Here is a 26,315-nt window from a genome sequence, read left to right as displayed (position 1 = left end):
CGCACCACCTGGCTCAGCCTCCTGCACCCTGAGGTCCTCTTCCAGGAATGCCTGCCCAGCAGCACTAGACCCCTTGCAGGACAGAAGAGCAGGACCAAAGCAAAGATATGAGAAGGAAAGGAATAGCAGGCAGTGTCAAAGAACAGGTCCCGAAACACGATTATTTTCCAAGCATTCTACAGGTAATTTTCACCAATGTTGCCAATAAGAACAGACAGGTTTCGGTGCTTGCTATCTGAACGTGAGTTGCAAGTTGGTGAGCCTAGCATTTTCACAAGAATTTGTGTGGAGAAAAGTAGTCACACTGTTGTGGTGGGCGACTCTGAGGGTGTCTCCAGAGTTTCCATCATGATGAGATCAGCTTTAGCTGGATGTTAGGTTACTATTGTTACCAGCAGATTGGTAAATACAACTTAGTTGCCTTGCTTTCTCATGTTTATGGCAAAGTAATGACAGGAAAGGGAGCTGCCAGGGAACATCTCACTGCCAGGTGACAAGAACCTTTCTGAGAATAAAGCCAAGACAGAATCAAACAGAGCCCTTCGAGTCAGGAGGACACTGAGCACAAGGGCACAATCTGATGACCGTCACCCCTGCCCCGCCTGAAGTTTAGGCGCTCTAATACTGAGAGCCAAATACATTCCTCTCCTGCTTTTCTTTTTTTTTTTTTTTTTTTGGTGGGGGGTGGGGAGCAGGGGTAGGCTTAAATTAGTTTAAGTTAGTTTTCTGGCACTTAAAGCTGAGAAAGTCCTGACTAACCTCTGGAGTAAGGCTCTCTAAGCATGAAGAGATTGAGAGGAGTTGAAGAGCACAGGGAAGGTCCTCCTGGTCTGTGAATGTAGCTTAGGTTGGCTCTGTCATTTTGAATAAGAACGGATTTGGCCGGGCGTGGTGGTTCACGCCTGTTATCCCAGCACTTTGGGAGTCCGAGGCAGGTGGATCACAAAGTCAGGAGTTTGAGACCAGCCTGACCAACATGGTGAAACCCCGTCTCTACTAAAAATACAAAAAAATTGCTGGATGTAGTGGCATGCGCCTGTAATCCCAGCTACTCGGGAGGCCGAGGCAGGAGAATCACTTGAACCTGGGAGGCGGAGGTTGCAGTGAGCCGAGATCACACCACTGCACTCCAGCCTGGGAGACAGAGAGAGACTCTGTCTCAAAAAAAAACAAAAAACGGATTCTTCTCCCACTCTGGGACTCTGGATGAACACTGTACCAGAGGATTAGGTAAGCCACTCTTCCTAATCCTCATCTCCCTTACACCACCACCCGCCAACCACCGTCACCATAGTGTCTATTCCCCGTGACATACACACACCCACAGCTGCTTGAATTTCTCCAGCATGTTAAGTAAGGAAAACAAAGAAAGCTATATATATGTACGTGTCCACCAGCCAGCTGACAGTAACACTTTCTGTACTGACTCCCAGGATAAAGGACATATTGTCTTAATTACACATTCACATACAAATACTAGGTGTAGGCCTTAATGTAGATACTGTGGCAGATGCTAGGAAGTAGAAAACTGTTCCTTCCTTCAAGGAGTTTATGAAGTTAATTGGGAGATTGAAAACTCAGCACCCCAATTCACTCTGCAGAAAGCAAAAAAAATAAAACTGAAAGCTGAGTCATGCAAGAAGCAGCCTTTCCTTTTGTTCCTAAGCAGAGAGTTACAGAGAAAAAGCTAACAACCTCCACAGGTAGCTACTGCATGTTCACCTTATCTTACGTACGGTGCCAATTTACTGAGTATCAGATGAACACATAATTGACCGTGCCCCTACCTGCTCCTTTTCCTTGCAACATATGGATCACCACACCCTCCTCTTTCCTCTCCATCCCACTTTTCCCTTTTAAATATTGAAGCCTTCAAAATCATCTTTGGAGAAAGACATAGACCATAGACTGTTTCTGTGATTCCATGTTATTTTCTCCGGGCATTTCCTTAACCTTGGCAAAATAAACTTCTAAATTGATTGAGACCTTTCCCAGACACTTTTTGATTTACGAACCTAAATAGTATATCTAGAAAGTTAAAAATATATATAAGCACTTTTAAAAATAGTTGAACAGTTTGGCAGTTCCTCAAAAAGTAACAAGGAGGCCAGGCATGGTGGCTCACACCTGTAATCCCAGCACTTTGGGAGGCCGAGGCGGGTGGATTGCCTGAGCTCGAGAGTTCGAGACCAGCCTGGCCAACATGGTGAAACCCCGTCTCTACTAAAAATACAAAAAATTAGCCGGGCATGGTGGCGGGCGCCTGTAGTCCCAGCCACTTGGGAGGCTGAGGCAGGAGAATCGCTTGAACTCGGGAGGTGGAGGTTGCGGTGAGCCGATATCATGCCACTGCACTCCAACCTGGGTGACAGAGTGAGACTCTGTCTCAAAAAAAAAAAAAAAAGTAACATGGAATAACCATTTGATCCAACAATTCCATTTTTAGGTATTTACTTAAAATCAATGAAAACATATGTCCACACAACAACTTGTACACGAGTGTTCACAGCAGTACTGTTCACAATTGCCAAAAGGCAGAAACAAGCCAGATGTCTATCAGCCAAGGCATGGATAAACAGAATGTGGTATACCCAAAAAAACAGAGTATTACTCAGTAGGATATTATTCATTCAAAGGAATAAAATATTGTAGTATAATAAGAAATAATGCAATAGTACAGTAGGGGGATTCTAGTTAATAATACTTTATTGTGTATTTCAAAATAGCTAGGAGACATTTGTAATATTCCAACATAAAGAAAAGATTAATGAAGTTGGGCGCAGTGGCTCATGCCTATAATTCCAGCACTTTTGTAGGCTGAGGTGAGAGGATCACTTGTAGCTAGGAGTTTGAGACTAGCCTGGGCAACATAGCAAGACCCCGTCTATACAGATAATAAAAAAATTACCTGGGTGTGGTGATGAATGCCTGCAATCCCAGCTACTCAGGAGGCTGAGGTAGGAGGATTGCTTGAGCCGAGAAGGTCGAGGCTGCAGTGAGCTGTGATTGTGCCACTGCACTCCAGCCTGGGAGGCAGAGCGATACCCTGTCTCAAAAGAAAACAAAAAAGGAAAAGAAAAGATGTATGTTTGAGGTGATGGCTAGCCCAATTACCCTGAGTTGATCATTACACATTGTATAAAGTATTAAAATATCACAGATACCCCCAAAATATGTATAACTAATATATACATAATTTTTTAGGCTGGGCGCGGTGACTTACACCTGTAATCCCAGCACTTTGGAAGGCTGAGACAGGCAGATCACCTGAGGTCAGAAGTTCGAGACCAGCCTGCCCAACATGGTGAAACCCCATCTCTTCTAAAAATACAAAAATTAGCTGGGCGTGGTGGCGCACACCTGTAATCCCAGCTACTCAGGAGGCTGAGGCAGGAGAATCTCTTGAATCCAGGAAGCGGAGGTTGTGGTGAGCTGAGATTGCTCCACTGCACTCCAGCCTGGGCCACAGAGTGAGATTCCATCTCAAAAAAACAAAACAAAAAAAAACCCAAAAAAACCATATATATATAATTTTTTAAATATAGAAGATAAAAATTAACATAATGAAAATAAAATAAAATAACCAAAAAAAGATGGGATAAATCAAAATTTCCCTTTGCTAAAAAAAAAAAAAAAAAAAAAAAAAAAAAAAGCCGGGCATGGTGGCTCACGCCTATAATCCCAGCACTTTGGGAGGCCAAGGCAGGTGGATCATGAGGTCGGGAGTTCGAGACCAGCCTGACCAATATGATGAAACCCCATCTCTACGAAAAGTACAAAAATTAGCTGGGTGTGGTGGTGCGTGCCTGTAATCCCAGCTACTCAGTAGGCTGAGGCAGGAGAATTGCTTGGACCCTGGAGGCAGAGGTTGCAGTGAGCTGAGATCGTGCCATTGCACTCCAGCCTGGGCAACAGAGTGAGAGCAAGACTCCGTCTCAAAAAAAAAAAAGAAAAAAAGAAAATATATTTGGTCTTTGTTTCTGCTTCCTGGCACAGAGCTCCTGAAACTCTTGTGATGGGGGATTGGAGTGTCTTTTGTTGTTCACAATGAGCTTCTTTCAACTGTACCTGAGTTTATACTAACGAGATGCCTCTTGCTGGTGGGAGGTGGTGTTGATAGCTTCACCGTGGAAGCTAGTTGCCAACCCTTGATTACAGGGTTTCGCCCTCACCTCCCACCTCCAACCTCCAGGGAGGGGAGAAGGCCTGGAGATCTAATTCCCAACCACCAACGGCCAACGATTTAATCAACCATGCCCATGTAATGAAACCTCCATAAAACCCCTAAACGACAGGGCTCAGAGAACTTTTGGGTTGGTGAACACATTGAAGTGCTGGGAGGATGGTGCCCTGGAGAGGGCAGGGAAGCTCCACCCTCATGAATATGGGTTTCTGCTTGGAATGGTCAAAATGTTTAGGAATTAAATAGTGGCGGTGATTGCATGACTTTGTGAACACACTAAAAACCACTGAACTGTACACTTAAAAAAATTTTTTTAAAGGCAAGAGGAAAGAGTATGACACAGTTCTATATGAAAGATTATCCCCCCACTCTCCACATAGAGCAATCTCTTGTGAAGAAGGCACTGTACTGACAGACAGTAGAAATTATAGCTTCCAGTTTACTGACAGTGACTCCCAAGTAAGAGTGGCTATTTTCAGGCTATTGCCTTTGCTTAGCGCAATACAAAAATCAAGTATTTCTGTCTTAATCACATAGCAAATCCTTTCCAATTCCCAACGGCCGCTTTCCTCTTCGTCTTATATCACTGGTTGCAGGAAATCATTTGTTATTTTAGACTTAAAAAAATATATATATAAGAGATGGCTGGGCACGATAGCTCACACCTGTAATCCTAACATTTTGGGAGGCCAAGGTGGGCAGATTGCTTCAACCCAGATGTTCAAGATGAGCCTGGCCAACATGGTGAAACCCCATCTCTACGAAAAATACAAAAACTAGCCAGGTTGGCCGGGTGCGGTGGCTCACGCCTGTAATCCCAGCACTTTGGGAGGCCGAGGTGGGCAGATCACAAGGTCAGGAGATCGAGACCATCCTGGCTAACACAGTGAAACCCCGTCTCTACTAAAAATACAAAAATTAGCCGGGTGTGGTGGCGGGCGCCTGTAGTCCCAGCTGCTGGGGGGCCTGAGGTGGGAGAATGGTATGAACCCGGGAGGCAGAGCTTGCAGTGAGCCGAGATCACACCACTGCGCTCCAGCCTGGGTGACAGAGCGAGACTCCATCTCAAAAAAAACACAACTAGCCAGGCGTGGTGGCATGAGCCCGTAGTCCCAGCTACTTGGAAGGCTGAGGCAGGAGGATTGCATGAGCCTGGGAGGTCAAGGCTGCAGTGAGCCAAGATGGTGTGGGGAGGGGGAGGAAGAGAGTGATCTCATGGAACTGGGAAGAATGAAACAGGAAAGGAGGAAAAATCATCATAAAGGCATCTTCTCAAATTGTTCACTGTGGGCAACTGGCACTCTATGTCTCTGGGGCCTTCTGGGGAGCCATGCAGAATGACCTCAGAATGATCCACCTGAGGTAAGGAAGGACTGGTTCCTGCCCCCACTGGTCAAGGTTTGCCCCATGGACATGCTTGCATGGGTGAGTGGTGGGTTTCACAGGCATTCCCCAACTCAGTCTTCAAGTTCTGGGACAGAACGCAAGAATTATGCTCAAGAAATGTCCATCAACGATAGACTGGATTAAGAAAATGTGGCACATATACACCATGGAATACTATGCAGCCATAAAAAAGGATGAGTTCATGTCCTTTGTAGGGACATGGATGAAGCTGGAAACCATCATTCTCAGCAAACTCTCACAAGGACAAAAAACCAAACACCGCATGTTCTCACTCATAGGTGGGAATTGAACAATGAGAACACTTGGACACAGGAAGGGGAACATCACACACCAGGGCCTGTTGTGGGGTGGGGGGAGGGGGGAGGGATAGCATTAGGAGACATACCTAATGTAAATGATGAGTTAATGGGTGCAGCACACCAACATGGCACATGTATACATATGTAACAAACCTGCACATTGTGCACATGTACCCTAGAACTTAAATAAAAAAAAAAAAAAAGAAAGAAAAGTTGGTGGCCAGCCAGGTGCAGTGGCTCATGCCTGTAATCCCAGCACTTTGGGAGGCCGAGGCGGGTGGATCACCTGAGGTCAGGAGTTCGAGACCAGCCTGACCAACATGGTGCAACCGTGTCCACTAAAAATACAAAACTTAGCCGGGCATGGTGGTGGGCGCCTGTAGTCCCAGCTACTCAGGAGGCTGAGGCAGGAGAATTGCTTGAACCTGGGAGGCAGAGGTTGCAGTGAGCCAAGATTGAGCCACTGCACTCCAACCTGGGCAACAGAAAGAGACTCCATCTCAAAAAAAAAAAAAAGAAAGAAAGAAAGAAAAAAAAGAAAAGTCGGTTGCCTCAACAGTGGCTGGAGTGAAAGGTTAATTTTAATAACTTTGATGGTTTAAAAATTTTTAATAATTTAAGAAACATTATAGACAATGAATGCTAAGAGATGAATGAAAGAAAGGAATCACTCTAGGCTGGGGAGGTAGGGCATCATAAATGAGGTAAAACTTAGATTTGCAATATTAACCTAGCTCTATGTGGTAGTTGCCCAGTTTAATTCTCATATTTATTTAAATATATGTTGCTTATGCACTGCTTACAATTTTTGTAATTACCACTTTTCCTTCCATAACAAGGAAACTAAAAACATGTAAATATAAAAGAAATTAACCCAGGAAAGGACAGTCTCTTCAACAAATGGTGCTGGGGAAACTGGATACCTACAAGAAGGGAATGAAGTTGAACTCTTACCTTACTGCATTTACAAAAATTAGCCCAAAATAGATCAAAGACCTAAAACTGTAAATGTAAGCATTACAACTCTTAGAAACTCTTGGAAGAATTAGCGTAACATTTTTATGACATTGGGTTTGGTAATGATTTCTTGCATATGACACCAAAAGCACAGGAAAGGAAACAAAAAGCAGGGCCAGGCGTGGTGGCTCACGCCTGTAATACCAGCACTTTGGGAGGCCGAGGAGGGTGGATCACGAGGTCAGGAGTTCGAGACCAGCCTGGCCAACATAGTGAAACCCCGTCTCTACTAAAAATACAAAAAAATTAGCCAGGCATGGTGGTGGGTGCCTGTAATCCCAGCTACTCGGGAGGCTGAGGCAGAAGAATCGCTTGAACCTGGGAGGTGGAGGTTGCAGTGAGCCGAGATGGTGGCACTACACTCCAGCCGGGTGACAGTGCGAGACTCCATCTCAAAAAAAAAAAAAAAGATAAATTGGACTTCATCAAAATTGGAAACTTTATGCATCAAAGTATGCTATCAACAGAGTGGAAAGGCAACCCATAGAATGGGGGAAAATATTTGCAAGCCATATACCTGATAAGGGAATAATGGAAATAATATCCAGAATATGTAAAGAACTCCTACAACTTAACAGCAAAAAACAAAACAAAACAAAACAAAAAAAACCCACACACAGAAAACAAAAAACCTCATTCAAAAATGAGTAATGAACAGCTATTTCTACATAAAAATGTCTACCATAAAGAAAATATACAGCTGGCTAACAAACACATAAAAGATGCTCAACATCACTAGTCAATAGAGAAATGCAAATTTAAAACACAATGAAATACCACTTTATAATCATTAGGACGGCTATTTTTTTTTAAAAAAAACACAACACAAAATCAAAAGCTGGTAAAGATGTATAGAAACTAGAACACTTGTGCATTGCTGGTAAGAATGTAAAATGGTGCAGCTGCTATGGAAAGCTGTTTTGCAGTTCCTTAAAAGATTAAACATAGAATTACTATTTCATCCAGCAGTTTTACTCCTAGGTATGTACCCCCAAAGAATCGAAAACAGGGACTGAAACAGATACCTATACACCATGTTCATAGCAGCATTTCATCCACAATGTGTAGCAGCAGTCAAAAGTTAAAAACAACCCAAATGTCCATCAATAGGTGAATGGATAAACAAAATGTGATAAACATTTATAATAGAATATGATTCAGCCTTAAAAAGCAATGAAGCTTTGATACATGCTACATGAATAAACCTTGAAAACATTATGCTAAGTGAAATAAGCCAGCAAGATATTTCACAAAGGACAAATATCGCATGGTTCCACTTATCTGAGGTAGAATAGGCAAATTCATAGGGAAAGGAAATGAGAGGTTACCAGGGCTGGGGGTGACTCTTTAATGGGTACAGAGTTTCTATTTAGGGTCATGATAAAGTTTTGGACAGAGATATTGGTAATGGCTGCATAACACTGTGAATGTACTTAGTGCCACTAACTTGTATACTTAAAAATGGTTAAAACGGGCCAGGTGCGGTGGCTCATGCCTGTAATCCCAGCACTTTGGGAGGCCGAAGTGGGCATATCACTTGAGGCCAGGAGTTTGAGACCAGCCTGGCCAAAATGATAAAACCCTATCTCTGCCAGAAAATACAAAAATTAGCCAGGCATGATGGCGCATGCCTCTGGAATCCTAGCTACTTGGGTGACTGAGGCAGGAGAATCACTTGAACCCAGGAGGTGGAGGTTGCAGTGTGTTGAGATCCTGCTACTGCACTCCAGCCTGGACAACAGAACGAGACTCTGTCTCAAAAAACAAAAAACAAAACAAAATAAAAATGGTTAAAATGTCCAGGCATTATGGTATACATCTGTAATCCCAGCTACTCAGTAGGCTGAGGCAGGAGGATTGGTTGAGCCCAGGAGTTTGAGTTCAGCCTGGGCAACATAGTAAGACCCTATCTGTAATAAAAAACAAAAACAAAAATAAAACCTTTTTTTAAAGGTAAATGTTGATATGGATGTTTTGCCACAATAAGGAAGGAAGGAGGGAAGGAAGGACAGAAGGAGGAGAGGGAAGGAAGAAAGGAAGGAAGAAAGAAGAAAGGAAGGAACGAAAGAAGGAAGGAGGGAGAGAGGGAGGGAAGGAAGGAAAAAAGGAGGTAAGGAAGGAAAACAGTACTTAAAATACTCCAAAGGGACCTCTTCAGCAGCATCCAGGGCAACCTGTATCATCTTAATTGTATTAAGGCAATGTTTAAGGGCCTTTGGAAAAGGAAACAAGGTGGATTTATGAGCGGGACAGGTAATTGTGATGTGTGCATTACATAGGGCATTTCTAGCTTGGGCACCTGGTAGTCATAATGCCTTGAGAAAGTGGTTTCAGGTTGACAGTTGGCTGGGGTTACTCTGAAATCAAACCCCTACAAGGTTTAGCTTTCCTCTTGGTTTGTCTGTTTGGCTTCTCTTTCACTGTTGTGAGCCAAGGCCGAGGCCAGATCACCATCTGGCAGCCAAGGATGCAAGAGGGACTTGGATCCATGATCACAGCATGTCTTCAGCTCCTGTCCCAGGCTACTAGAGTCCACACACTGATCCACGCCCGTTGTCATCTTTGCTTTCTTGTTTTTGTTGTTGTTTTTGAGATGGAGTCTCTCTCTGTCTCCCAGGCTGGAGTACAGTGGCATGATCTCAGCTCACTGCAACCTCCACCCGCCAGGTTCAAGCGATTCTCCTCCCTCAGCCTTCCAAGTAGCTGGGATTACAGGCATGCACCACCACGCCTGGCTAATTTTTTTGTATTTTTAGTAGAGATGGGGTTTCACCATGTTGGCCAGGCTGGTCTTGAACTCCTGACCTCAAATGATTCATCCACCTCAGCCTCCCAAAGTGCTGGGATTTCAGGTGTCAGCCACTGTGCCTGGCCCGTCTTTGCTTTCCAAACTCTAGTCTTGGAGCACTTTGAGGCATTTTTCTCCAGAGGCGCTGAATGGGGTTTCAAGAATTGTTTTCTGGGTTCTTCCTGTTTAGCACCTGCTATTGTGATTACACTCACAACAAAGTCACAACAAATGGTTTTTCCTTCCAGTTTATTTTGGCCATGGCATGCAACTACCTTCAGTTAGTTCGCAGCCCTGAGTGAACCCAAGGGCTTGCTCCACGCTGTTTCTCATTCTTCCTCACTCAGAGTACCCCTGCAGGACCCAAGAAGTGCCTGTCCCCTCAGACACCACATATCAACGCTTGTCGCTTATGGCAGGCTCGCCTGCACTTGGCACTATTTCCCCTGAGAACTTCCTGCTTGTTCTTCTTCTTCTTTTTCATGGTTCTTCAAGGCTGTGTCTTTCTCTGGTTGCATACTTTGGGGAAAAATTGCCATCTCTCTTTCCAAGGCTTACAACTGGGCAAGATCTCAGATTTATTACCATTTTTGGAGAATTATATATCCATAAGCAAGTTTGAGAAAGGCTCTCTTAAAAATGTCCCCTTGCCAAAATTTAATTTTGAAGTCTGTCCTCATGAAGCGTTTTTAAAAATTGAGATTAAAAAACACATAACATTTACCATCTTAACCATTTTTAAGTGGCTCATGCCTGTAATCCCAGCACTTTAGGAGGCCGAGGCGGGCGAATCACCTGAGGTCAGGATTTCGAGACCAGCCTGGCCAACATGGTGAAACCCCATCTCTACTAAAAATACAACAATTAGCCGGGTGTGGTGGCAATCCCAGCTACTCGGGAGACTGAGGCAGGAGAATCGCTTGAACCAGTGAGCCGAGATCATGCCATTGCACTCCAGCCTTAGGGACAAGAGCAAGACTTCGTCTCAAAAAACAAAAAACAAACAAACAAAAAAAGAATCTTAGTGGTAGCAAAACTGAAAATTGCTTGGGATTCCCACTCCCTCTTCCTCTTTGCAGCCATCCCATTCTATTTCACCTTCCTCCTACGCATTTTTCAAGCTCCAGCCTCCTACTGACCAATTGCTAGGAACTGTCAAAGTAGGCACATTTCAAATGCAAATACAGTGCATTCTCTGAACATAACACAGGAATGGAAACCTGTAAACAACACAGGAATGGAAACCTGTAAACCTCATGGTAAGAAAATAGTCCCTCCCATCCCCTTTACACGGAGCCATCACATGTCCCAGAGGAAGGAAACTGTACCTGCAGGAGTGTAACAGAATCGTCAAGAGCACACGGAATCGGTCTTGATTCTGTGACAGAGTGAATGAAGACTGTGATGACATATATAAAAATCACACATTTTCCAAGCTAGAACTTAAAAAAAAAAAGGTTAGAGCATCTTCGTATACTTAACTGACAATCATCTTTAATTACTGTGACTAAATGAGAGTCCTGCCACTATCCCATCTGTGTGAGCTGAACCTCTTCCCAGACGTGTTAGTCCTGCTACGCTTACGCTGTGGGCTGGAGGATTCCGAAGAGTTTACCCCACCCAAACCTGTGAAGATGGCGTTCTATCAAATAGGTATGGTCTGAGTTCCAGGCCATTTATTTGTATTCTTCTTCTTATTATTATTATTTTAGAGACCTGGTCTCGTTCTATTGCCCAGGCTGGAGGGCAAAGGCATGATTATAGCTCACTTGCAGCCTTGATCTCCTGGGCTCCAGTGATCCTCCTGCCTCAGCCTCCCATGTAGCTGGGACTACAGGCATGCACCACCACACCTGGCTAATTTATTTTATTTTTTGTAGAGAAAGGGGGTCTCACTATGTCACTCAGGCTGGTTTTGAACTCTTGGCCTCAAGCGATCCTCCCACCTCGGCCTCTCAAAGCGCTGGGATTACAGGATGTGCCACCACGCCCGACTATTTGCATTCTTAGTGTGTGCATGGTTCAAGGTTGTATTGGATACTAGATTCCTCCCCTGGCTTCCCAGCATAACAGTATATCTTTGAAAAGTGGCCGTGCTTCTGAGAATACTCAGAATGCAAGGAGAGGAGCGGGAACTGATCCCCAAGTTCAGAGCCCCATCTTTAGTTGCTGTGCCAACAATGGAAGTATTATTCTCATCCCTCCCTTAGCAGGACCCATTGTTCTCTGGTTACAACAGAAGTGAGATAAACAGCAGCTGCAAGGACCCGACCCTTCCTCCCTCCAGGCCCAGGCACTGAACGTGAGAAGCCTGGCATTATTACCACACAGGCTTCTGACAGTTCTTGAAGGACAGAGTTGATGAGGATGGGGGCATGAGATTCACTTTTTACAGACAAAATGTCGTCTGTAAGGATAACAGGAGAAGGCGGAGACGTTGCAACAACTCTTTTCCCTAACCATTTCCTGTATTCTGGCATATCAAATAACTAGAGAAACAACATGATATGTGACATAGTGAGACCCCATTCTGTAAAAAAATAAAATAAAATTTTTATATTATATATATGTGTTTGCATTTGCCAAGCCTTTGAGTCAATTTTCAGGTTTTTTCCATTTTTTTCTTGTCTTGATTTTTGTGGTTCTTCCATGTGCCTTGAGCCTTCAGATTCCCTACGATATACAGCCGATTCTCATTTTCCATAAGGTTACTGTGAATACTGAAACATTGCTCCTAGGGGCAACACAGGGTGAGGTTCCTGTGAGCCTCCGATCACATTTTTCTTTTTTTTATTTTTATTTTTTGAGACGGAGTCTCGCTCTGTTGCCCAGGCTGCAGTGCAGTGGCGCGATCTCGGCTCACTGCGACCTCCGCCTCCCGGGTTCACGCCATTCTCCTGCCTCAGCCTCCCGAGTAGCTGGGACTACAGGTGCCCACCACCAAGCCCGGCTAATTTTTGTATTTTTAGTAGAGACAGGGTTTCACCGTGTTAGCCAGGATGGTCTCGATCTCCAGACCTCGTGATCTGCCTGCCTCAGCCTCCCAAAGTGCTGGGATTACAGGCGTGAGCCACTGTGCCCGGCCTCTGATCACATTTTTCATCAACCAATCAATTATGTGTGTTTGTGTTTAAAGATACTTATTATATATTGTTGATTCATTAACATTAGATCTATGGCCAACAGCACTGTCACTCACGCCTGAATGAAGCTCATTTAACACACATATTTTCTCCGTAAGGCATATTACAGCTTTCTTGCACTTAGGAACAGTAGACAGCACTTCAGCACTATGCTTGGGGACTATTTTTTAAAGAGCAAAATCACCAAAAAAAGCACAAAAATGTCAAAACATAACATTACATGTACTGCAAATAGGAAGGACACCGCATTACCGTGGAGAGCTAAAACAAGAAGGCAGGGCCTGGCTTTGTTTGACTGCGGCAGGAATGTGCATCACCTTGGTTTGAGTGACTCAAACTTTTCACTTCTCTGCACATGTCTGTGAACGACTGAAGGTACTGCAAGGATGGATTTGGGGGTTCCAAATAAATTTCAGAGAGTAGCAAATTCCCAATATGAAATCCAGGAATAACGAGGATTGATTGTAACCATGCACATTCAAGAATGAAAATATTTTGTGGGTGAAATCTTGCAGTGGAATCAGAAGTCAAGAACACATGTTTCTATCAACTCTCAGAACATGGGGAACTCTATTCTAAGGGCACTTGGGGATCTGTTGGCCTTCCCATACAAGAGTGACACTGTCACGTTCCCTGACTCCACTGCCAGTAGGACATGAACTGGGAAGTGCGTTTTCCATTCCTGGAGACTATTAGCTCTAAGGTAGTTAATCTCAAGGTGTGGTTCTGGATGGACTGACACCTTCTTAGAAATGTAAAGTGTCTGGTTCCACTCCGGACCTACAGGACCAGAAACTCAGAGGTGGGGTCTTCTGTGTTTTAAAAGGCCAGGAGATTCTGCTTCGTGCTCAAGTTAGAGAACAGTGCTCTAAGCCACCCAACTCATCCGGCCCCTCTAGTGGCTAACGGCCTGTAGGATGCCTGATTGATTTTCCTTTGGTGTGGAAAGAGCCAGGCCTTGACAGATGAATCCCACTTCTGCCTTTTATAATGGAGAGAACTTGTTACTTAAATACTCTGACCCTCCAGTTTCCTTATGTATAAAAATGTGGAGATTAAAAGAAACCATGAAGGAGGAAGTGTCTAGTTCACAAAAGGACCTCAGTAAATGTCAGCATTCTTTGTCTTCCTTTCTTTTATTATTCCTTCCTGAATAAGACATGAAGGGTGAAGAAAAAAATCCTAGAGAGAGAGTTTTCTTTCCTTAGCAGAGAGCTCAGGTTTTTATCTCAGAGGAAACAATCATCATCATTTCTCATTTTCATCATTGTCTCTCTCTCCCCCTTCTCACTCCCTTTCTCTCTCTGCAAGGAAAGCTGGTACTCTGGTCTCAACGTAGCTACAGGAGGAAAAGCACACTAAAGTCATTCAAAAAGAATGCAGAATATTTGAGAGTTCTTACACTTTAATATACAATTAAAAGCAAGTCCTCTGAACTCATTACCTTCTGCCTATTTTCCTTCTACCTTCACATAGCAACTTTTTTTTTTTTTTTTTTTTGAGACGGAGTCTCACTGTGTCACCCAGGCTGGAGCGCAGTAGCGTGATCTCGGCTCACTGCAGCCTCTGCCTCCTGGATTCAAGTGATTCTTCTGCCTCAGCCTCCTGAGCAGCTGGGATTACAGGCGCCCACCTCCATGCCCAGCTAATTTTTATATTTTTAGTAGAGACGGAGTTTCACCATGTTGGTCAGGCTGGTCTTGAACTCTTGACCTCAGGTGATCCACCCACCTTGGCCTCCCAAAGTGCTAGGATTACAGGTGTGAGCCACCACTCCCAGCCCACATAGCAACATTTTTTTAAAAAATCATTGTTTAAATTATCGAAATGGGGCCTCACTCTGTCACCCAGGCTGGAGTGCAGTCCCATAACCAGAGCTCACTGCAGCCTCAAATTCCTGGGCTCCAGCAGTCTTCCTGCCTGAGCCTCCCACGTAGCTAGGACTACAGACATGTGTCACCACACCTGGCTAATTTTATTTATTTATTTATTTATTTGAGACAGGGTCTTGCTCTGTCACCCAGGCTGAAGTGCAGTGGTACAATCATAGCTCACTGTAGCCTCGAACTCCTAGGCTCAAGCAATCCTGCCTTCTCAGCCTCCCAAGTATCTGGGACTACAGACATGTGCCACCATGCCTGGCTAATTTTTTTATTTTTTGTAGAGACAGTCTCACCAGCCCAGGCTGGTCTTAAACTCCTGGCCTCAAGTGATCCTCCCTCCTTAGCCTCCCAAAGTGCTGGGATTATAGGCGTGAGGCACTAGGTGCCCATCCCACATAGCAACTTCTGTGCTCTTTTAGCCTGAGGAACTAAGAATTCCTTTCAGTTGGCTTACTAGGGCCTTAAAGACTTAATTTGAAAAATGGGTGATTACAGTATACTACCACCCATTCCTCCAGCTCTCCCTGGTTGTTGCTGAAGGAGAATTCAGGTCTCAATTTACCAGCCCTTTATCTTGAGCCATGCAGTCAATTAAAATCAAAATTGAGGCCAGGGAGTTGTGTTCAGAGATTGTAATTCTGTGTACTGGAAGGATCTTTTCTTTGAAATTGACTATTCCGGCTCCTCCCTATGTTTGTAGTTCTTTGGCTGCATGCACTAACTGTCTTCCTGACTTTCTCTGCTGGAGTCAACCTTGCAGACCTGCTATTACTACCAGTGTGTAAAGTTGTGTTAGAAATGCTTGTTCCCTGGTGCTGTAAAGAAATAGCACTTAACATAAATTTAATTTTCTCAGCAAGGCCATTTTCACTTTCTGCAGAAAGGGTACACTCGCCAGCAGTTTTGCCACGAGAGTACACTGAACAAAGGAGACAGGGTCATTTATAATCTGATGCGTCCACCCTACTGCTGTGTCGGTTTCCATTGGCTGGAACAGGACCTCACATTCTGTATTTGTCCCAGTTGGCTAGCAACTTAGAACTTTTTAAGAGAGGCAAAGGCAGAAGAGGACAAAGGAAGGAGGAAGTAACTTGTGGAATGCTGAGAAAGGTAAAAACACCTTCAAATAAGGAAGAAGAACAGGCTATGACCTAATGCTTGCTTGGACCAGTAGAAGCATGGCAGGGCAAATATTTAGGCTAAATTGTGGGAACTAAGAACATAAAGTACATTGATTTCTTTATTATGGCTAGAGATATTTAAGAATATTAACACAGGTCTTTGAATAAATTTTGCTTCTAAGAGAAGTTACTATTTATTCCTAATTAGATGGGGAGGAAAGTCTTTGAAGAGGAACCTCTACTTTGCTTTTTACAATTGTTTCTTCTAATCTCAACTAGTTTCCCCTGAGGATTGGTAATGTCCAGTAGTGGCTAACCAACATTTACAAAGAGGAAGAGAGGGCTGTAACTTTGGAATTTTAATGGTAAAAACCAAAGGGATTTTAATGGTAAAAACCAATTGCCCTGTTCTAAGCCAGGGAAATTCCTTAACACAGGTTTCAAGATACCTCACCAGCTTTCCCCAGCCTTCCTCTCGCTCCAGCCCACCTTAATTTTTTTTATACTTCAGCTTAGACTGCTTCAGCTAGACAAACCTGATTGCCATTTCCTTTCCCATGCAACTTCCTTCTCTGAAAAATAGAGCTGGAGGAAGTTGAGACGCAGAAAAGAGAAACAAGTTACCCACACCACATTTTGGTCCAGGTTTCCTTCTCCAGCATCACACTTCTATTCCTACTTGAAAAAAGAAAAATAGCTCAGAGGGGTCTCTAAGTCACCCTCCCCACAACCACCTATATCCCCCAAACCCCACCTCCATGCCCCGGATGCAATTGTTTAAAGGGATTTTGTTCTTTATTTTCTTCCCTATAGTTTCCTGACTAGCTGCCTCACCCATTATCTTCATGTTCCTGGGATGTGTGATACAAATAACAATGTATAGCCAATCAATATCTTAGGTTATTTTTATGTAAATTCTTGGTAAATAGTTTAGGAACTGCCTTTTTCTTTTCCTTTAAAAGAAGGAAAAGGCTACTACCACTTGTACCTGTTAGAAGAAATAAAGTTCCAGAAAAAGAAAAGAAAAAAGAAAAACCCACTTGTAGGCAGGTGCAGTGACTCCCACCTGTATTCCCAGCACTTTGGGAGGCTGAGGGGGGTGGACCACTTGAGCCTAGGAGTTTGAGACCAGCCTGGGTGACATGGTGAAAGCCCCATCTCTATCAAAAATACAAAACTTAGCCAGTCTCATAACCCAGTCAATAAATAAATAACTAGATTAAAAAAAAAACACAACTGCTGCTACTGGGAGGATAGATTCAGGGCAACTTGAATCTATGCTTCTGGGTTGCAGTCCTCAAACTTGGCCCAGGTAAACTCTCCACTCAGAATGTATTTTCCTTTAGGTCGATATAGCTGGCGTAAGTCAGCAGGATTCAGAGTGAATCCCCCACAGCAACCACCCATTGTTTTTCTCTGAAGGCAGTGGTTGGTACTAGCACAAACCCATTGCGTTCTCCATCTTCAGAAGTCTCATTGGTGTTGCGGGTGAGTTCTCCTGAATCCAGACTCCCGTTTCTTTGGTGGAGGTCTAGACTTTGAGCGGTTTCTCTTTGACTCTCTCTGAATGAGGGTTCTGTCTCTGACTTTCCTGTTTAAGTCAGGAGATCAGGATATTTTTCTGGCAACTCACAGGTCTGGAGTTAGCAGTTTGCTTCCATTTTCGGCCAAGACATTGTTACATCATGACCTTTCATTTTGGAAATCAAACTTTTATGCATGACCAACCTCTCTTAGATTCCCTTTTTCTAATATATGAGAGTGGATTCTTCACTCCAAAGATAAAAGGCACTCGCTCCCTCCAGCCCGTTAGGGCACCCTAAACAATTAGCGACTTGCTGGGGGTATTGGGACTTTCGTGCCTTAAAAGGTTTCCTCTCTCAGGAGAACATCCGTAATCTCTCTCACTCTGCCAACAAGTGCACATAAAGGCTGGCCACTTAGCACTCGTGAGGACTTTGTGACCCTCTGGGGATCAATGTTTCTGAGACACATAAAAACGTGGACACAACTCAGTAGTGACACACTAAGGAGTCACACTCACAAGCAGCACATTTTGACCCAAAACACAGCCCAGAACTTGGCTGTGAGTGATTCAGGCCTCTAAATTATGGGTAACAAACCTATTCAAGTCTGAAGACTCTCTAACGACGCAGCCTCCCTTGGAAACATCGGCTGATATTCTGTATAACACTTACGGAGCTTTGTCTTGCAGACATTTGAACAAATGGGCCCACAGGACTTCAGATGACCCTAAATTACAATAGCCAAAACGGAGGTCCTTTGATAGATCAGAAAAAAAAAAAAAAGCTATTTTAGAACCAAACAGAATGGGAGACCTACTTTCTACTTGTCCTGGCTGAAATCTGATAAAAGATTTGAAAAGATTTTTTTAAAGAGCTCTATGGTTAGAAATCAGCTTAATTAAAAGCTGATATTCAGGGCATAATTTTTATTGACAAAAAGGGCCTTTCTGCTTTTTCTCCCTGGGATCCCGTTTCTGGGAATTCTTTTTCAGTCAACTGAAACTCCTTTTGAAAAAAAAAAGTTTAATCTCTCCATTTGCTTCCTTTCTTGTTGGCATGATTTTGCTGAGAAAAACGTAAAACTTCATTGGTCTTTCAGAAAATTTAAAATCTTTCCAAATTAGCCCCGCTAGGCCTTGTTCTTCCATTTCCTTCCACTTCCGCTCCTCCTTTCTTTGGCCATCTTTGATACCACGTGAAGAAATCTAGAGACTTCTAGCAGAGACTTCTGAGACCTCTTGAGGAACACAGGAAAAGGCACCACACACGCACACGCACACACATGCACGCTCACACACGCAAGCGCACACTCACGCACGCGCACATGCACGCGCATGAATATGCACGCACACGCATGCACATACGCACACAGACACGGACACACACACGGACGCATACACACGCAACCACACACGCACACACGCACGCACACGTGTGCACACACATGCACACACACACACACGCACACACACATGCTCTATTTTGTGGTCTTCTCTTTCTTTTGTGGAGTCCTGAGAATTGTGGGCATACTTTTCTCAGGTCTAAAGCTCTGCTCTCTTTTGCATTGAGTTTCCTGGTCTCTGGCTTTTGGAGTACAAAAGGATTACTTTGTATTGAGAGAGAATTTGACCTTTGTGTGTGCAGTGGCTGGCAAGTGACTGGCAAAAGCTGCAGTTTTAGAAGTAGCTGACAGCAAATGCAGCGAATGGTTATTACTGCAGGGGGCTACTTGTTTCGTTATGTGTTTAGATAAGAAAGGTGAAGTTCGAATGCTTGGAGGTTATGAAAACATTCTCCAACAAGGGGTAAGACCTCCTGTGGGGGATGGGCTGACCACAGAATGGGCTGATGTTGCAAGGAGCACTGTGGAAACATTGTGTGGCCCTGGACCCATGGCATTCTTTCCTCTTTTGGGGACCTGCGATTCAAAGTAAAAGTGGGATTCTTGATTTTTAAAGATCTAGATCACCTTCCCAGCTGTGCCTGCTTTTCACGTGTTTAATTATTAGGCCCTGAGAACAGCAAATACTTTCTTGGCCCTATTTGTTAATGGGCTCCACCCTAAGCTCAGTAATCCAGTTAAGAAATGGAAAACTAAATTTAAAAATCCACCTATCCAACTAGATTAGTCTTCAAAATACAACTTTCTGGCATTTGGCTGGCTACTTTGAAAAGGTTTTGGTTCGGGACAGGCAAGCCCCAAAATCGGGGCTTAGCCCGGGAGGGTTCCCAGCTTTGCCCAGGAAAGAACTCAGCAACTTTTACTGAAGTGGCCGTGTACAGCAGCAGCAGAAGGGCTGCTGCTGTGGAGCAGGGCTGCCCCAGAGTAGCTCAGAGTAGCAGAGTAGCAGCTCAGAGGTGGTTCTGCTCTCATCTTTATACCCACTTTTAATTATATGCAAATTAAGGGGTGGTTTATGTAGAACTTTCTAAGATGAGGGGAGTAACTACTGGGTCCTCCGGTTGTTGCCATGAAAGGGGGCAGTAACGGCTGGGTGTTGCCATGGCGATGGTAAACTGACATGGCACACTGGTGGGTGTGTCTTATGGAAAGCTGCTTCCTCCCTGGACCTGTTTGAGCTAGTCTTCAGTTTGGTCTGGTGTCCAAGCCCCACCTCCAGAGTTGAGTCCTGCCTCCTACCTCAGTTTCTGAATTTTTTTCTAGGCCCATCTATGTATTTCCTTGCACAACTTTCTAGTGAATTCCTATGATTTTGCATTACCTTGACATCCACTTTTAATCTTCCTTTAACACATGTAAACTCCTTCTTGAAAATGCGTACATTCTCTCTCCTTTGAGACGCAATTTGCTTCCCTGTTTTCTCTGAAACTCCATAAGGGCTTGTGAAAACTTTAATCTGTTCCATTTAGAGAGACAGAATTTAATCCAACTGTCCTTTTAAACTAGTGAGTTTTACCTGTCTGATGACAAATTTTAAACTCAAAGCTGTAAAAATCTTTTTTTTTTTTTTTTGAGACAGTCTCGGTCTGTCACCCAGGCTGGAGTACAATGGCATGATTTTGGCTCACTGCAACCTCTGCCTCCCAGGCTCAAGTGATTCTTCTGCCTCAGCCTCCTGAGTACCTGGGACTACAGGTGCGCACCACCATGCCAGGCTAATTTTTGTATCTTTAAAAGAGACAGGTTTTTGCCATGTTGGCCAGGCTGGCCTCAAACGCCTTACCTCAAGTGATCCACCTGCCTTAGTCTCCCAAGGTGTTGGGATTATAGGCGTGAGCCATTGCACACAGCCAAAGCTATAAAAATCTTAATTTGTGTCTGTGTCTATTTTTTTTTTTTTTGAGATGGAGTTTCGCTCTTGTTGCCCAGGCTGGAGTGCAGTGGTGCGACCTCGGCTCATCACAACCTCCGCCTCCCAGGTTCAAGCGATTCTCCTGCTTCAGCCTCCCAAGTAGCTGGGATTACAGGCCTGTGCCACCATGCTCGGCTAATTTTATATTTTTAATAGAGATGGGGTTTCTCTATGTTGGTCAGGCTGGTCTCAACTCCCGACCTCAGATGATCCGCCCGTCTCGTCCTCCCAAAGTGCTGGGATTACAGGCGTCAGCCACCATGTCCAGCAGTGTCTATTTTTTATGTGTATCTGTGTACATGCTGTGTTTTTATATTGTCTACATGATACCAAGTTGACTTATAAATAAGTGAGCACTCATAAACTAAGTAAATAAGCCCAAATGCTTTTCAGGTTCACACGATTTTTAGTAACCTTTGGTAAATAAAACTAGTTTTTAAATTGTTGTTAAAATTAAATTAGAAAGTTTGAAGACTAAATATAGTTCAAACATTTTTACGTGGTCTATTGGTCAAACAGATGTATACCGTCTCTGCTAGATGTTTTAAGATTATAAAACTGTTGCCTCAGCTGAGTGTGGTGGCTCACACCTATAACCCCAGCACTTTGGGAGGCAGAGGTGGATGGATTACTTGATTAGCTGGGTGTGGTGTGGTCGCACACACCTGTGATCCCAGCTACTCAGGAGGCTGAGGCACTAGAATTACTTGAACTCAAGAGGCGGAGATTGCAGTAAGCCAAGATCGTGCCACTGGGCTCCAGCCTGGGCAACAGAGTGAGACTCTGTCTCAAAAAGAAACCCCAAAAAACAACAAAAAAAACCCTGTTGCTTCTGTGATATTTTTGATACCTGCTGAATTTGTCTGTGACCTAAAGTGGTGAGGGCTGGCTGCTGGGCTTCCCCCAATCCTTGCACACATTTTACAGTGAGCTAACATCTTTGGTTTTGAGCCTTTAGGTTCTGGGGTCTAGACAGGTGGCCTTGGTGAGGCCTGAAGACATTGGCATGTCCATAGCACCAAGGACACTAGCTGCAGGGCAGGGCCAAACCCAATATGTCCTCCCTGGCCCAGCTGTGCCTCCTGGGGACATGCTGGGAAGGGTTGGCCTTTTTAGGCATCTTTACATCTTGGTCCTGTCCTGAGCTCTATACCTGGTATGTAAATTCAGGACCCAGATGGTCCCTGCCCTTTATAGCCATTCTGAGTGCCATATGGGTACTTGGGACCCAGGACAACTGAGGAACACATTGGGGAGGGTACTTGTATAATAATTTCAAAATTGCTTTCAGGAATTTAAACTCTTAAAATAATGTTATGTTAAGGCCAATTGCTATGATTTACATCTGTAATCTTAGCACTTTGGGAGGCAAGGAGTTCAAGACCAGCCTGGGCAACATAGTAAGACCCATCTCTAAAAAAGAAAAAAACAATTAGCCAGGCATGGTGGCATGTGCCTGTGGTCTCAGCTACTAAGGAGGCAGGGGTGGGAGGATTGCTTGAGCCTGGGTGGGTGAGGCTGCAGTGAGCTCTGATTGCACCACTGTACTTCAGCCAGTGCAACAGAGTGAGATCCTGTCTCGAATAATAATTGACCTTATTTGTGTAATCTGTTTTTTTTTTTTTTTTTTTTTTGAGACTGAGTCTTGCTCTGTCATCCAGGCTGGAGTGCAGTGGCGTGATCTCGGCTCACTGCAAGCTCCACATCCCAGGTTCACACCATTCTCCTGCCTCAGCCTCCCAAGTAGCTGAGACTACAGGTGCCCGCCACCACGCCCGGCTAATTTTTTGTATTTTTAGTAGAGACGGGATTTCACCGTGTTAGCCAGGATGGTCTCGATCTCCTGACCTCGTGATCCGCCCGCTTAGCCTCCCAAAGTGCTGGGATTCCAGGCGTGAGCCACCATGCCTGGCCGATTGCGTAATATTTTTAATTCTTAAATTGATTATGTCTTATGTTTCTAAGTGTCTAAAATGTGAATCAAAAAGTACCTGAGACAAGTCTCAATCAATTTAGAAAGTTTATTTTGCCAAGGTTAAGGACACACCTGTGACACATGTGCCCAAGGTGTTTGGGATATAGCCTGGTTTTATACATTTTAGGGAAATGTGAGACATCAATCAATATATGTAAGATGTACATTGATTTGGTCTGAAAGTCAGGACAACTCAAAGCAGGCTTCCAGGTCATAGGTAGAGAAGAGACAAACAGTTGCATTCTTTATTTTATTTTATTTTTATTTTTTTGAGACAGTCTCATTCTGTCTCCCAGGCTGAAATGCAGTGGTGAGATCTCGGCTCACTGCAACCTCTGCCTCCTGAGCTCAAGCGATTCTTTTGCCTCAGCCTCCTGAGCTCAAGCGATTCTTTTGCCTCAGCCTCCTGAGTAGCTGGGATTACAGGTGTGTGCCACCACACCCAGCTAATTTTTGTATTTCTAGTAGAGACAAGGTTTCACCATGTTGGCCAGGCTGGTCTCGAACTCCTAATCTCAGGTCATCCCACCCGCCTCGGCCTCCCAAAGTGTTGAGATCACAGGCGTGAGCCACCGCACCCAGCGGGTTGCATTCTTTTGAGTTTCTGATTAGCCTTTCACTGAATACACATTTTACAGGAATAGTCACTTATGCCTTAGTCTAGCTTAGTGAGACAATAGGACAAAGGAAGTAATTAGATATGCCTGCTTTTGTCTCACGTGAGCAGAGGGATGACTGAGTTCCGGCTGTCCTTTGTCCACAAGGAATTTCCCTTTGGGCAAATTGTGACGGATGTATGTGATTTTTTTTCTCTTTGTAGCTATCTTATTTAGGAATAGAACGGGGGTCATGTTTGCCGGATGCAGTTCGCAGCTTGAGTCTTCCCTTTGGACTAGTGACTTTGGGGTCCTGAGGTTTATTTTCCTTTCACAAAAGCCAACAACAAAAAAAACTAATCATGATAGCTAGATGCTTAGAAATGATTCAGCAGGGGTGGGCACGGTGGCTCACACCTGTAATCCCAGCATTTTGGGAGGCCGAGGCGGGCGGATCACCTGAGGTCGGTGAAACCCCGTCTCTACTAAAAATACAAAAAGCTCACCGGGTGTGGTGGCACTTGTCTGTAATCCCAGCTACTCGGGAGGCTGAGGCAGGAGAATTGATTGAATCCGAGAGGTGGAGGTTGCGGTGAACTGAGATCGCACCATTGCACTCCAGCCTGGGCAACAAGAGTGAAACTCCGTCTCAAATAAATAAATAAATAAATAAATAAATAAATAAATAAATAAATAAATAATAAAAAGAAAAAAGAAGTGATTCAACATACCGTGGCTCCTTTGTAAGCAGATGACATGACTGAGGTCTGTTGCTTTGTTACCGGACGGAAGGTCTTGACTGTGAGTTGTCCAGGTTCTTGGGGTTTCAAACAAAGAATTAAACAAAACGCACAAGCAAAACAACAAAAGAACGGAGTAACAAAGGCACAGATTTATTGAAGAAGCAAAAGTACAACTCACAGAGTAAAAGCAGGTGTGAGCAAGCAGCTAGAGACTCCTCAATTAGGGTTTTTATTAAGCTGAAAGAACTTGGCAACACCCCAGGTGCCCTTTAGAGGCCTCCAATTGGTTACACCCTATGAAGGATTGGCCTCAGACCAATCAGAGGCTGAAGTGGAGGCTTGGCCTGCAGTCAATCAGAAGCTGAAGTGGAAACTTCTGTCTTGTTACCACAGAAGTGAAGATGTGGCCTGCACGCTGCACAATCTTGCCTAGAACTGGCTGCACCTGCTGTTCTCTTGCTTATGAGAACTGGCTGCACCTGCTATTCCTTTGCTTCTGCCCCAACCCTTGGCTACCCTAATTCCCTGTTCTCCTCCCTCACCTTTGTGCTGCCTATCAGTTTGGACTTGAGACTTCTCTATGTTCTTGAGCCATAGTACCTGTTTCTTCTTTCCCTTCGATGTGCTTCATGGTGATGTGGGACAGACATCTAAAATGCTGATCCTCAATACTTTTTTTTTTTTTTTTGAGGTGGAGTTTTGTTCTTGTTACCCAGGCTGGACAGCAATGGCACCATCTCTGCTCACCGCAACTTCTGCCTCCCGGGTTCAAGCGATTCTCCTGCCTCAGCCTCCCGAGTAGCTGGGACTACAGGCGCATGCCACCACACCCGGCTACTTTTTTCTATTTTTAGTAGAGACAGGGTTTCGCCATCTTAGCCAGGATCGTCTCGATCTCCCGACTCAGGTGTCCCACCCGCCTCCGCCTCCCAAAGTGCTGGGATTACAGGGCATGAGCCACTGTGCCGGCTGATCATCAATACTTTTAGAAGAGAAAAATTCTGATCGAAAGGGAGAAATGAAAAATAAAAATAGCTAAGAGCAGTCAGAGCTTTGTGAGGTATGCAAAATTTATCTGGCCCAGAGAGAAATGAGTATGGGGCTTCAATCACATGCATGCCCCCACCCATACCCAGGGACAATTATTTGAAGACATTTTGTTCTTTCTTTTCTTTCTTTCTTTTTTTTTTGAGATGGAGTCTGGCTCTGTCGCCCAGGCTGGAGTGCAGTGGCCCAATCCTGGCTCACTGCAAGCTCCACCTCCCAGATTCACACCATTCTCCTGCCTCAGCCTCCTGAGTAGCTGGGACTACAGGCGCCCACCAGCACATTTGGCTAATTTTTTCTATTTTTTAGTAGAGACGGGGTTTCACCGTGTTAGCCAGGATGGTCTCTATCTCCTGACCTCGTGATCCGCCAGCCTCGGCCTCCCAAAGTGCTGGGATTACAGGCATGAACCACTGTGCCCGGCCTGTTCTTTCTTTTCTTCCCTGTAGTTTTCAGACTAGCTGCTTCACCCATTGTCTTCATGTTCCTGGAATTTTTGATACAAAGAAAAATGTATAGCCAATGAATATTTTATGTCATTTGAATGTAATTTCTTGGTAAACAATTTAGGAACTCGTCTATTCTTTTCCTTTAAAAACTTTCTTGTAACTGCTGCTAATCAGAGCATACATTCAGGGCAACTTGAATCTATGCTTCCAAGTTGCAGTGCTTAAACTTGGCCCAAATTAACTCTCTGCTTACATTTTCAGTTTTTCCCCTTTAGATCAGCATACTCCCAAGCCATTATCTTGGGCCCTCTCTTCTATCCCAGACCTTGCCTTTTCCCTTCCACCAGTAAATCAAAAATAAAATTCTAGGGCCCCCTCCAACCATCTGAATGGATCCCTCCTCTTGGCCAAGTGCATTCTAAAGTTAACCTGAAAAACTAGTTCAGGCCATGATGGGAAGCAAGGGTCTGACATTCCTCATATATGCTCTTCCCTTTTGGAATTCAGGAAAAGCTGACCAGCATTAACATTAACACAGATCTTAAGTCTTGTTAGTCTAAAAAGAAACATTTGTAATCTATTCTCTCTGAAGCCTGCTGCTTGGACGATAAAGTCTTGGTCTCCACAACCCCTTATTGTAACCTAGACATTTCTTTCTATTGATAATAACTCTTCAACCAATTGCCAATCAGAAAATGTTAAAATCTACCTATAACCTGGAAGCCCCCTGTTTTGAGATGTCCCACCCTTCCAGATCAAACCGATGTAAATCATACATGTATTGATTGAGGTCTCATATCTCCCTAAAATGTATAAAAGCAAGC

The 26,315-nt window shown here is 44.2% G+C and overlaps 2 long non-coding RNA genes across 7 annotated transcripts in view, besides 1 other annotated feature; one reads left to right on the top strand and one right to left on the bottom strand.

Moving 5' to 3' along the window:
• Nucleotides 1-24,255, bottom strand: part of LOC101929432 (uncharacterized) — a 38,521-nt gene extending 14,266 nt beyond the window's left edge. For 3 of the 6 annotated variants that reach the window (XR_007063153.1, XR_007063152.1, XR_931541.3), the window contains exons 1-2: nucleotides 23,984-24,198; nucleotides 2,909-3,046 (exon numbers count right to left, since the gene is read on the bottom strand). This is a non-coding gene — a long non-coding RNA (uncharacterized LOC101929432). Of the gene's footprint in view, nucleotides 1-2,908; nucleotides 3,047-10,658; nucleotides 11,073-23,983 lie in introns of those variants that run through there. The other 3 variants (XR_429020.4, XR_001748951.1, XR_001748950.2) reach the window with 3 other exon arrangements.
• Nucleotides 1-26,315, top strand: part of LINC02455 (long intergenic non-protein coding RNA 2455) — a 44,021-nt gene that overhangs the window by 2,592 nt on the left and 15,114 nt on the right. The window lies entirely within an intron of this gene.
• Nucleotides 24,546-24,595: an enhancer, noted in NCBI's record as "active region_5786". NCBI's record gives its function as "activates an Ori minimal core promoter by ATAC-STARR-seq in GM12878 lymphoblastoid cells {active_cell/tissue: GM12878}" and the evidence as "EXISTENCE:reporter gene assay evidence [ECO:0000049][PMID:35858748]".

The sequence above is a fragment of the Homo sapiens genome, chromosome 12 (genome assembly GCF_000001405.40).
Source record: "Homo sapiens chromosome 12, GRCh38.p14 Primary Assembly".
Lineage (NCBI taxonomy): Eukaryota > Metazoa > Chordata > Mammalia > Primates > Hominidae > Homo > Homo sapiens.
Note: the sequence above shows the minus strand (reverse complement) of the source record. Positions and strands in the feature narration are given on the sequence as shown.